The sequence below is a fragment of the Homo sapiens genome, chromosome 13, assembly GCF_000001405.40.
Source record: "Homo sapiens chromosome 13, GRCh38.p14 Primary Assembly".
NCBI classification, from domain to species: domain Eukaryota; kingdom Metazoa; phylum Chordata; class Mammalia; order Primates; family Hominidae; genus Homo; species Homo sapiens.
The window spans coordinates 29,787,813-29,800,673 of NC_000013.11; the positions used below are offsets into that span (position 1 = coordinate 29,787,813).

Genomic DNA, 12,861 nt, shown 5'->3' on the forward strand with positions numbered 1-12,861 from the left:
TTGTTTCTGTCACCCAAATGCTGAAGATACTAAACTAAGAAAGGAGAAAGGGAAATGGTAAAGGCAAAGCACTAGAGAGGACAGCAGGGAGGGTTAGAGTAGTATATATTCATGATGGAGTTTCATGTATTTCAGGAAGATGACAATTCTATTTCCTCTGTCCACCTCCCATTAGTGACGGCATGATGGTGGAAGTTTTTTGGATAAGACAGCCTGAAATTAACCAGTATTTACTGAAGATCAACTAGGCACCCGTTTTCTTTTGAATAGTTCTAGCGCAAGGCACATTTCCAGAACCTACTATATAGTACTTTCTCTTCTCTCTAACCATCTAGTTACTCCAATAAATCCAGGTATGATACAGGATAAATCTTTTATGTCTACACTTATTTGTCTTAGCCTTACCATTATTTGAGCCTTCCACAATATCCCCTTTGAGATGTCTGCTCCTTTGTTGTGTCAATTCCCAGATTCCCTCTCTCCTACTTATTCTATGCTATTATCAAATTCTCAGTACTACTTTAAATTCTATGCCTTTCACAATATTCCTCAATCATTCAACACAGAACAATTTTTAAAACTAGGAGTCTCAGAATTCATCCAGTTCATAGATAAGGAAAAGACAAGGACAGAGATGCCCTGAGAGGCTGGCTAGAACCTGGGTTTTCTTCTTCCTAGGTCAGGACTTGTTCCAGCATACTTCGATGCCACCCCAAAACACCCTCTCAAGACTCCTCCTATTTCTTTCTAAATATTTGATTTCTATCTTATTCGAATAGCCTCTCCAGAAAAGCTTGTTTTCTCTTAGGATTTACACAACTTTTGAGACAAAATACTCCTTAATTAATCTGCTATATACTAACTGAAAACTAATCCTGCATTTCTCTGACCCATGGAACTTCTAGGGAATATAAGTAGATGCTAAGAAAAAAAGAATTCTTAATTACTGTGAAATAAGTTTGGAAATGGGTTAAAAAATTCAAACAATGCAGTTGCCAGGGAATGGAGGTAGGGCTTAATGGGGAAGTGTGTGTGTGTGTGTGTGTGTGTGTGTGTGTGCGCGCGCGCGCGCACGCGCACGTGTGTGCGTGTGTGTGTGTGTTTGAGACGGAGTTTTGCTCTTGTTGCCCAGGCTGGAGTGTAACGGCGCAATCTCGGCTCACCGCAACCTCCACCTCCTGGGCTCAAGAGATTTTCCTGCCTCAGCCTCTCAAGTGGCTGGGATTACAGGCATGCACCACCACACCCAGCTAATTTTGCATTTTTAGTAGAGATGGGATTTCACCATGTTGGTCAGGCTAGTTTCAAACTTTCGACCTCAGGTGATCCACCAGCCTCGTCCTCCCAAAGTGCTGGGATTACAGGTGTGAGCCACCACGCCCGGCGGGAATTATTGTTTAATGGGCATAGAGTTTCAGTTTTGCAAAATGAAAAGAGTTCTGGAGACAGATTGTGGTGATGGTAGCAAAACTTCACAAATGTAAAATACCACTGAATTGCACACTTTAAAATGGTTAAGATGGTACACTTTATGTTATATGTATTTTATCACAATTTAAAAATATAAAAGAAAATTTCAATTCAAGTAAGTTTCTTCACTGCAAAATTCAGAATCTTTCATATGCCAAAATCTCTAAGAGGGAGGAGAGCTATACCTGTATTATTAGTGTGTTCAAGATTGTTCTACTTTCAGCTGATTCTTCAAAAGACTGAACACACAAATGTGTGTTAAAAAGGCACTAGGCTAGATGCGCCAGAAAATACAGAGATGATCAAACACAGTTGCTAGCTCTACAGTACTCTGGGTTTGCTGTAAGGCATTCAGCCACCTCAGCAGGCAATGGGGCTAACACAACCAGGTCACTGAAATTCAAGTTTATTTGCTTTTTTTCAAATATGTTGGGCATAATGTATTGATGTAGAAACAAAATTTTACTTGTAATGGAAAGTCAGTCAGAAGTCCTATGACATAGCATTGTTACCTTTAAAAATGTTAAAATAGCTGATATTAAAATAATCTACTTATTGTTCGGGGGAATGTAAGAATGACTCCCCCTTTTATAGCATAACTATCAATTAAATATTTGTATCACTGTTGCATGAAAGAGCAGAATATACCCAGAGATGGTCTTTAATATTAGAATAAAATTCACATAAGATGGACACTGTAAAAACACAGAATTTAAAAAGGTGCATCTTTCCCCATACTTTTAAGAAAACATGGGGAAATGGTTTAATGCTTGATGCCATGGCTAGAAAATAAGATCATTTTAATGTATGACTTCACCCTATGAAAAGGAAACTAATGGTCCTCAGAGGTATTGTTCTAGATGACTGTTAAAGTTCCTCACTAATATCTGAAAATCATTAAGTAAAAAGAGAACGTTATTTAGGAATATAATAATATACATAGGACACATAAACATTCAATAATGACCAATTCATTCTTATCAGTCACACTTTAGACTTGAATAGAGGTAAAATTACATAAATCCAATGCTCTAATTTCTTTATCACTAACTCTTTATCTTTCATTCCTTTTAAACCTGTGTCTATTGAAGCCATGCTACTGAACTGTGCTCCTAAAGGTTACTTATGACCATCTAATGAAAACATCAAAAACCTTCTTCTCATTTGTCATCTTCCTTAGTCTCTGTAACATTCCACACAATTTAACTCCTTACTTCTTAAACGTCTTTCCTCATTAGGTTCCTATAATTCCCAAAGTTATGTTTTCTGGAACACCAACCCCCAAGAGGTATTCTGGGGAGAAAGGGGTTCTGACGTCAGGTAAATCTACAAAACACTACTTTATATGTTTCCTTCTTGGAGATGTGTCATGCATGTTAACATATTAAAAGGGCACAGAATTCTTGCAGTGAATGAGTATTTAACTACAGAACCAATTTTCTTTCCCATATTACCTGTTACCCACCCCACAGAACTAGTGTTTGGTTAAACATCCTTCGGGAAGACTATTCCTGCTTGTTTAATCCTTTGATCCTCTCTTTCAGTTGGTTTTTCTTCCTTTTATAATCCAAATATGGGTTTTTCCAAGGTTCCCTCATCAGTCTCTCTCCCAGTCCCTGCTCCATCCTTGAGAGATCTCATTCACTCCCAAGGCTTCCACTGTCACCCATTTGGAATATTCCCAAACTAATTATCCATGAAGCGCCATTTTCATTTCTCCGTCTGCTAGCTGTCCATTTCTGATCGGGTAGATAGCTTACTGTCCCCTCAAATTTGATATGTTTAAAACTGAACTTATTTCTTAACAACAGATATCTTTCCTGACTTATTTATTTCTGCTGAATTCTCCTGGTCTCTCAGTCCTTTAGGCATGAAAGCTCAGTCATCATTTACTCCTGCCCTTTTTTCTCACTTGCCCTTACCCAATTACTAATTCTTTCAAATTCTCTCTGTCAGTTTCTCAGCCCAATCCATCCTGTACTCTCAAAAACATTCTTAAAAGTTTAAAATTCTGTCAGGGTGTTCTAGACAGCTAACATTTACTAATCACTTACAAGTGCTGCACAGTACTTTCTATGAGGTACACAGTTGAACATCATAGGACCCTATAAGACAGGTACTGTTATCTCCGTTTTATAGATGGTAAACTGGGACACTAAGGTTAAGTAACTCTTAAGATCAAATATTTACAATCCAAACTCTTCAGTCCAACTACTGCTAATTCCCTATCCAAATTCCTATTTCAGCCAAAGCAATATATTCATTATAAATCCTATCCTGGCAAGAATCACCAGAATGACTTTCTGATTGTTCTTGTTCGGTTCTGAGGTCACCTTTGAAGCCTAAGTGACCACTCAAACCTACACTACTCCTTCCTTCCTCAGAGTTTCCATCCAATCACTGGCATATCCAATCACTGTCACCATAGGGTCCATGCTTGCCTAGGACAATTCTGACTCATGTTTGCTGTCTCACTATTACTATGCCCCCTTTCACTCTCAAAAGTACCTCAATTTAGACAATAAATTATAAGGTCATCCTACATATATCACATCTGTTATTGTAGCAAGAAACCATTTATGTCCATATCCTACCAACTCCCCCAATTAAATCATGGTCCTTGAAGGTAGAAAATCAATCTGAAAACTTAAACTGGTCTTATTTCTCTTACACCAGGCACATTTATTATGCGTATGTGGCTACAGAACAATTGTGGACATGAGGTTCCATTGGTTGTGTTTTGTTTCTCGATTAAATCCTGCTTTTAAATCAAAAAAGGAAAAATAATTCAAGTTAATTCATATAGTCAACCTCAGTCACAGTGCTTGAAAAAAGTAGGTATTTAATACTTTGAAAGGATGAATGAATAATGTACTAGAGTATGTGTGCCAAACTATAGCCAACATTACTAAAATATTTCAAAGATATACATGTAACTGGACACTTCGTGTATAACCACCAAGTGGATCTACCAATAATTACCAAGAAAAAATGTTTTCTAATATTTTTTACCGTTATACACAGTTGAGTGATAACAGACTATTTCCCACAACTATTTTGGAATACAAGCTCTGGAACAGACCACAGTGATAATAAAAACCAATTTCTCTAAAGAGGGAAAAAAATAAAAATAAATAAATAAATAAATCATCCTATTCTTTACAGTATGTTGTCAGTTAACTTATTATTCAAAAGTGATAGCAAGCTCTCCTGTTTAAAAGAATACAGTCTGTCTGTCTATGAAGAAAACGATTGTTTCACACTGCCTCTGCTTTGCAGTCCTATTCAGCTCAGACAATTTGCATCAACCTGTGACTAGTGACACTGTCACTTAGTGGTGCCCCAGAAAGCCATGATCTCACGTGCTCTTAATATTGAAGTTCTTATTTATACATAGATGTCTCTGGAATACTCATGAATTCTTACTTGAATACAATGGTGTTTTATTAATAGTTATTAATTAAATTTTAAAATGCTAATACATAATTTATCAATTTACTTAGAATTGGTATGACAAATTATTCAGCAGGGCAGCTTTGCATAACAAGCAGGAAAAACGACAAGCAAAAGTGACAAATACATCCCTGTCACTACATAATATAAAATACAGCACAAAATTCTGCATCTGTGCATACTTTCTAAGCTAAGAATGCTAATTAACATAATCATTAAGTGCTATTTATTAGAGGTAAAGGCATCACACTATGTTTGTTTTAAAAAGCAGAATGCTCATAAACTCATTGTTAGAGAATATAAATCTAGCAGCATCAAAACACTTCGTATTACAATACAGAAAGCAAAACAAATGGCAGCAGATGGCTTCAAAGAGGGGAAATAAAGAAGAGAACTATAGAATAGTAAAGCGCAAATTAAAATTGAAAGGAAAAATTTTAAAAAGAAACAGCTAAGGAAAAGAACAGATAAACTCCTGGGGAAAAGTCAACGACTAACAGACAGCAGAAATAATATTCATAAATAGGAAAGATTGGTATATGCAGATTAGACAATTATCCAAAGCCATGGACATGAAAAGACCAGAATGCATCATTGTTAGAGACACAATTCAAGAACTAATGGATCCCTGGCACTGAGCTAGAAAATATCACATATTTTTTGCAAATTTAGAAACAGGCTCAGAGTTTTTAAAGAATTATCTAAGGTTATAAAAGACAAGATAGAATTCCAAATAAATTGGTATAGGTATGGCAACCCTTTGACGTGAACTATTTACTTAGCAATGTTCTATTTATTTATTTTAGTTTTCTTCTTATTACTTTAATATTCTAAATTTCCTCTTTATAAATTACTCAAATATTCTATTTTTAATCAATGATATAGCCTATACTCACTTCTATTATCTACAATTATCTACACCTACAATCCTCAAGAATATGTGAGGGATGCCAGAAGTTGCTACCATATATCAATGATAACTCAGAGTAACTAACACCATAAAACGGATACAAAGTCTGGAAAAGATTTAAATTAGTCTCTGGACCTCTCATTACAAGAACCAATGTGTGTTACTAAGTGTTACTAACACTTTCATTTCTTCTATTGGCTTTTCTTTTCCTTTTTTTGAGACAGAATCTTGCTTTGTCGCCCAGGCTAGAATGCAGTGGCACAATCTTGGCTCACTGCAACCTCCACCCCCCAGGTTCAAGAGATTTTCCTGCCTCAGCCTCCCAAGTAGCTGGGATTACAGGTGTGTGACACCACGCCCAGTTAATTTTTTAGGTTTTTAGTAGAGATAAGGTTTCGCCACGTTGGCCAGGCTGGTCTTAAACTCCTGGCCTCAAGAGATCCACTCGCCTCACCCTCCCGAAGTGCTGGGATTACAAGTGTGAGCCACTGCACCTGGCCTATTAGATATTATCTTATTTTCAGAATAGTCAAGATGTTAATGTTTGAACACTTACCAATACTGAAGGTATTATCCTTACTTTATCTTAAAAGTTTTAGAAAGCATGACTATGCCATAAAAGCTGCTTTCTTAAGGAATAAAATTACTTTCTCACTTTTCTTCAATAGCAATTCAACATTAATAAGAGGGAATCTTTACTAACACTACACACACACACACACACACGCACCCCTACCTATATGCATGTTGACCTTTTCTGACCTACTTTAGTTATGTTTGTTAGGTGAAAACTAAGTACCCAGGTATAGGTTAACTGAATTTAGAGAATAATAATGATCCTAGAAGTTAGAAGAAGATATAAAGAACATGGCTGGTAGCAGATATGATTTTAAATTGTATTTTAATCACAACTATTTTTATAGAGCTACGCAGTCACCAGGTTTTATTAATTTTTCTTCTGCAGTGTTTATCTTTTATTTTTCCTCCATTCACCTGTCAGCATCCTAGTTTAGACTCTTATGACTAGGTAAGTAATCTACTAATGGGTCTTCCTGGGCACTGGGTGCCCTTTCTCCGATGTATCTTGCTCTAGTTAATCCTGTATATTAATTTATCCATGCAAAATGTATTTATCAGGCACTTATCATATCAATGCTTAAATATTCAAGACCTGCAAAAGCAACAGAAATTAGCAGGTACACTTCAATATGTGCTTCTGAAATCATGAAATTGGCTATGCATTTGAGTACATTTTTCTTGCAGCAGGTACAGGGAAGAATTAAATGCATGCATAAAGACTATAAAATAACAAAGGCAGAATTCTACTCAAAGAGACTTACAATTATTACAAATTGTAGCCAAAACATTCTTATCTTGACACTCTTAAATGATAAGACAGCAAACATTCATTTCAAATTCAAGTACTCAGGCTATTCGCTCATGAATGGAGTTAGTGATTTTGATCACATATATTCATACATAAACTTTTATGTGCATAAGACCTAATGCCTTCAAGGGATAACTCTACTACTGGATTTAATCTAGCAAATACTAAATAATCTGGAGCCTAACCAATGCTGATTTATAAACTTTTATGTCCTAAAGGCTTAACTTGTAAATCCATTGTTTGTAACCTGGATTATATTTTCCAAAGGGGAAAAAATGAGCTATATATGGCAGCAAATATCCTAGGGAACTCCTAAGAATTTAACCTAATAATATAAAAAATATATACTTAATATGCAGTACATAGTAGTAACATTAATAACTGCTAATACATATAACTCTTACTAGATCCTCTAGTCAGGATTTAGTAAGTAACATTATTAATAATATTAGTAACATTAGTGACTAACATTAGTTATATTATTAACAATTAGTAACATTATTAATAGGTAATAACACTATTAATAACTGCTAATCCATATACCTCTTGCCAGATCCTCTTTTAGGTGTTTATATATTGACTTATTTAATTCTCACTGCAACCCTAAGGAGAGGTGGCAGCTTGTGCCTGTAATCGCAGCTACTAGGGAGGCTGAGGCAGGAGGATCACTTGAGGCCAGGAGTTCAAGACCAGCCTGGGCAACATAGCAAGGCCTCATCTCAGAAAAAAAAAAAAAAAAAAAAAAGAGAGAGAGCCATGTGTGGTGGTAAGCACCTGCAGTCCCAGTTACTTGGAAGGCTGAGGTAAGAGGATCACTGGAGCCCAGAAGTTTGAGGCTACAACGAGCTATGACTGTGTCACTGCACTACAGCCTGGGTGGCAGAGGAAGACTTTGATCTCTCTTTTTTTTTTTTAAATAAGGAGAAGAATTTTAAGTTTTTCTTTTTAATGGCATTTTAAAATACTTAGTTCTATTGTTCGGTTCTTATAATTAGAAAGCCTGAAAAGAGAACAGAAGATAAAACTTGAAAGATCTACCGCAAAGGAAGAAGCATGTTAGAGCTGGCCTAATATAAATAATTAGACGATAAAAATTAAGTCATTTGCTAAAAGGCTGAAGATGAGAGCTGCTTTTGGAGCCCTTGGAAGTGGTTTTTGTGCCAGGAGTAGTTTTTGTGCACAGAAAATAAAATCTAGAAGTTTAATTTTATTTTTTAATTAATATTTGATTTATGAAAATTACAAAAAAAATTCAAAAAATTAGTCCCAGTTTTTAAAGTTACCTTTAAGTTTTTACTTAACTTACAAATCTGTCAAAATGTATCACTTACCACTGGCTTTCAATTATTTAGATTTTAAACTGCAATTATAAATTAAACAGATTCAATTTCTTCTTTAGATATTTCCACTAACTGCTGGTGAATCTTCCCAATTACCTATAATTCTTATAAATCTAATAAACTAAACTTATAAAAATGGTCAACCTTAAATTCTCATAAATGTTATGGTACTACAAATAAACTTATAAGCATTTCTCCTAAAAATCCCAAGCAAAATCATTACTCAATTACATATTTTAAATTGGAAGTGACACTGCCCAATAAGCACATGAAAAGATGCTCAGCATGATTTAGTCATTAGGAAAATAAAAATCAAAACCACAGTGAAATACTATCTCCAACCCACTAAGATGGCTATAATCAAAAACGCTGACAATCTTTTAGGTGATAAAATGATTTCATCTTGGATCTCTACCATGACTTGGTCTCCATTCTGATCACAACAGTTAAGGTCATTCTTCTAGAAGGTTTGAGGATTCTTTCAGCCTTTCACTAGGTACTGTTTAAACTCAGCTGCTATTCCTCAAGGGCTTCATATTCTAGATTTAGAAAAATAACAGGAAGATTTTAGGAAAAAACTTAAAGGCAGGAAGCGTGGGTCATATAAAGAGAACATAGTCTAAATGTCTCTTTAACCACTGACTTTTCAATTATACTGGCATGGAATAAGCAGTTAACGTATTTATAAATTAATTATTTATAAATTAGTAGAAGTTATTTATTGAAAACATTATCAAACAGGCTCTAAAGAAAAAAATTCTTAATGTATTTTTCTTATTCTTCATATTTTAGTATCAGTTTTCTGTTGGCTGGTTGGTCTTTGTCTCCCCAATGAAACTGTACATTTCTTCAGGTCAGAAAAGGAAAAAGAGAAAGAAAATTAAATGCTAGGTACTTTGCTTCCTTGTGAAAGAGATATGATGTTCATGGTCAAAGAAGCAGGCTTAGTTAGTGACTAAAATGTGATTTGAAGGTACAGACAGAATCTTAGAATTATAGGAATTTAATGTCTCTATACAATATTTTCACCAGGATGTGGTTCTCTGGTGAATCCCCCTAATCCTCTTTAAGGTCTCGAAATACAATCATTTACACCGGCCAAGATAGTGCTGGAGAAAGAACCCTTCAAATTCTGCACTGACATTCCCCAATACATTTTTTTTGCCATTACATTTTTACCAATTCATTTTCAAATCTCTAATTTGACATTACATACATTACCTACATGCATTTGGGAGGCACATTACGTAAGTGTTGATTTACCTTTTATGACTACTGCAAAGATCAAATAAAATAAATATGATCATGTAAGTTCTAAGTCTTAAAACTGTTGTTAGTCTTATGCTTAAATGTAAGGGTTAATAAGATTCAATTAAGGAAAATGGCTGTCCCTGGTTTGTCCTTTTCCTAACATTGCTCAGTTATTAATACTTCCTTCCTTCTATTAATACATGAAATCTGCCAAACATTTAGGTCTGTAAATCCATGAGGATTACTTAAATATCATGTCAACTAGACTATAAACTCTTCAAGGGGAGGAATCATGAATCATGATGCCCTCTATTCCTCTGTCTTTGCTTCCTTCTACTTTTTCTTTTCCACCATTACCCAGTTTTTCACAATGTAGTTTTTTTTTTTGATGGCATATTAAATATATATTTTTTTTTTGGAGACTGAGTCTTGCTCTGTTGTGCCCAGGCTAGAGTGCAGTGACACGATCTTGGCTCGCTGCAACCTCTGCCTCTTGAGTTCAAGCGATTCTCCTGCCTCAGCCTCCGGAGTAGCTAGATTACAGGCACCCATCCCCATGCTCAGCTAATTTTTTGTATTTTTAGTAGAGACGGGGTTTCACCATGTTGGTCAGGCTGGTCTCAAACTCCTGACCTCAGGTGATCCGACCACCTCAGCCTCCCAAAGTGTTGGGATTACAGGTGTGAGCCACCGCGCCCGACCCTAAACATCTTTAATGAAGGCATGGTACAAGTACTAAATCAGCTGATTGTCCTCCCTAAAGTATGTCAATAAAATCCTCAGGGGGCCATTAGAAAGAAAGAGAAAAATACCATAATTACCATGATCACAGACAAGATCTCTAATAAGCCATAGCTACTACTGTAGATGCAGCTCTAAAAAAGAAGAGGCCACAGTCCATAAGCTTACTAACAGTCCTTATTCTAAAGACTGAGTCCTCTAAATATGTGCAATCATTCTACAAATTTTTCACAGCATTTAAGCCTTATTATTTTGATAATACAAGTATGAATAGAGTAGTCTGAATCAAGTGTAATTAGAAAATATGTGGAAAACAAAAACTTCTAAGTAGTCATACTTGCAACAGCACAGCTATTTCACAAAGGATATGTGAATTCTTCTTAAATGAGCAAAATTAAGAGAAACCCCAAAAAACTATAGATGCGTTTAAGTACTCATCAAACGTTATAATTTTAGTAATTTTTCACATGCTTGATATTATTGGTAGTGATAACAATGAGAACAGTATGTGTTGCCTGCTTACCACGGTCTCAGAAATTGTGCTAACGATATTTATATAAGGTAGATATTATTCTCTTTATTTTCCAGATAAGGAAACTGAAGCTTGAATGAGGTTAAATATCTTGCCAAAGGTAAGTGGGAAACTGAATACAGCTCTGTTTCTGAACCCAAGATCTTAGGCTAAGATAGGGTTTCTCAACCTCAGCACAACTGATATTTTAGACCAGATAAATTCTTCATTTGGGTAGTGGGGGGAGCTGTTTTGTGCATTGTAGGAGGTATAATATCATCTCTTGCTTCTATCCACTAGATATCAGTGGCATTCCACCCTTGCCACCTTCCCCTTCCCCCTGCCCCCGGCAAAGTTGTGGCAATAAAAAAAAGTATGCAGACATTGCCAAATGTCTCCTAGGGGGCAAAATTGCCTTGGTTGAGAATCACGGCTAAGTAATGTATTACTTAATTCATACCTTTACTGTGATAAACCATCAAGAGCACATTCTTGGAGAAATCTAGAGCAATACAACAACTTCACACATTTTAAACTACTCAGCAAATAGGATATTTAAAATCATTTGAAAATAAGACTAACTGAAGATGTTATATGGTTAAGTAAAAATGTCTAAAAGGTACCTAAATGCAATAAATTACATGATCACATATTATTTTCTTTGCTCCCATACACTAAGACTATAAAATTATGAGTCTGTAACAAAAATAGAACTTTTTACATGCATATGAGTGGTTCTTCAAAGCGGTACCTTTGGACTGGATGTGCACAATTGCTGCCATTGAAGGGAAAAAAAGAGTCAAATCCTGTATTTTGGAAGTATTTTGAAACCTAGTTTAGAAGTTATTTCCCTCTGTTGTTCTCCATCACCTCACTTCTACATGGCATTTATTTACAAAACTTGCCTTATTATTTTACAAATCACATTTGGCTTTTTCTTTTAAGCCTAGAATAATACCATGCAGTTTATCACCATTTTATTTTAGACTTTGTTTTGAATAATTTTTGCTTATTTTCAAAATAAGTCCAAGTATCAAAGGACAAAATTTGTCACATTGTGGGTATTGAAAAAAAAAAGCCAAAAAAGTCAAAGTATTTTATGCAATGGCAGAACCAATGGACTGAGAATAAAATTTTCTAGGATGACTAGGGCAGGGAATAGGGGGATGACTATACTAACATCCAAAGGTTTCAAAAGTTTATTTTAAAATCCAATTGCTGAACAGTAATTCCTTTTCGAGCTTATATTCATGATTATTTAAGTTTTACTTCCGCAAACACCCTGCGGTCAATTCAAATCAATAAATCACTGAATTTCACATTTAATTTTTAAGATATATTTTGAAATGCTAGTGTTGACATCTTGCTCTGCTGAAAATATGACGAGACAGCAACAAAGTAACAAGACTGATGGATTTAAATTTCAGCCTCTTATTTCTCCTCCTAACCCTGACTGAATGAGTTAGTAAGTTCTGATGGCCAATGAGTAGGCAGATTTGAGGAGAGAGAGGAGCACTTGAACAGTGTAAGCCTGTTTGAAAAGTCATTTGGCAATTAATATCATAAGCTGTAAAAAATATTCCCTCTTTTTAACTGAGATTCCATTCCTAGAAATTGATTCAATGTAAATAATTCAAAAGAGGCAGAAGAAAAAAAGCTATGACATATAAAAATGTTGTCTTCTAAAATCCTAACAATGATAAAGTGTGAATGTTTTAATACAACTAAAAAAAAGAAGATAAAAGAAAAAATATGGCAGACTAACTTGAAAGAATATTATGCAGCCATAAAAATTTAT

General features: G+C 35.2%; 1 protein-coding gene across 2 annotated transcripts in view; it reads right to left on the reverse strand.

Annotated features, from left to right (window-relative positions):
• The window catches only part of UBL3 (ubiquitin like 3), an 86,247-nt gene that overhangs the window by 23,442 nt on the left and 49,944 nt on the right, over window positions 1–12,861 (reverse strand). The window contains exon 2 of one of the 2 annotated variants that reach the window (XM_047430394.1): window positions 8,976–9,099. The exons of the other annotated variant lie outside the window; for it this stretch is intronic. Coding sequence (XP_047286350.1) covers window positions 8,976–8,978 — 3 coding nt within the window. The 5' untranslated portion in view covers window positions 8,979–9,099. The remainder of the gene's footprint in view (window positions 1–8,975; window positions 9,100–12,861) is intronic. 2 annotated transcript variants of the gene reach the window in all.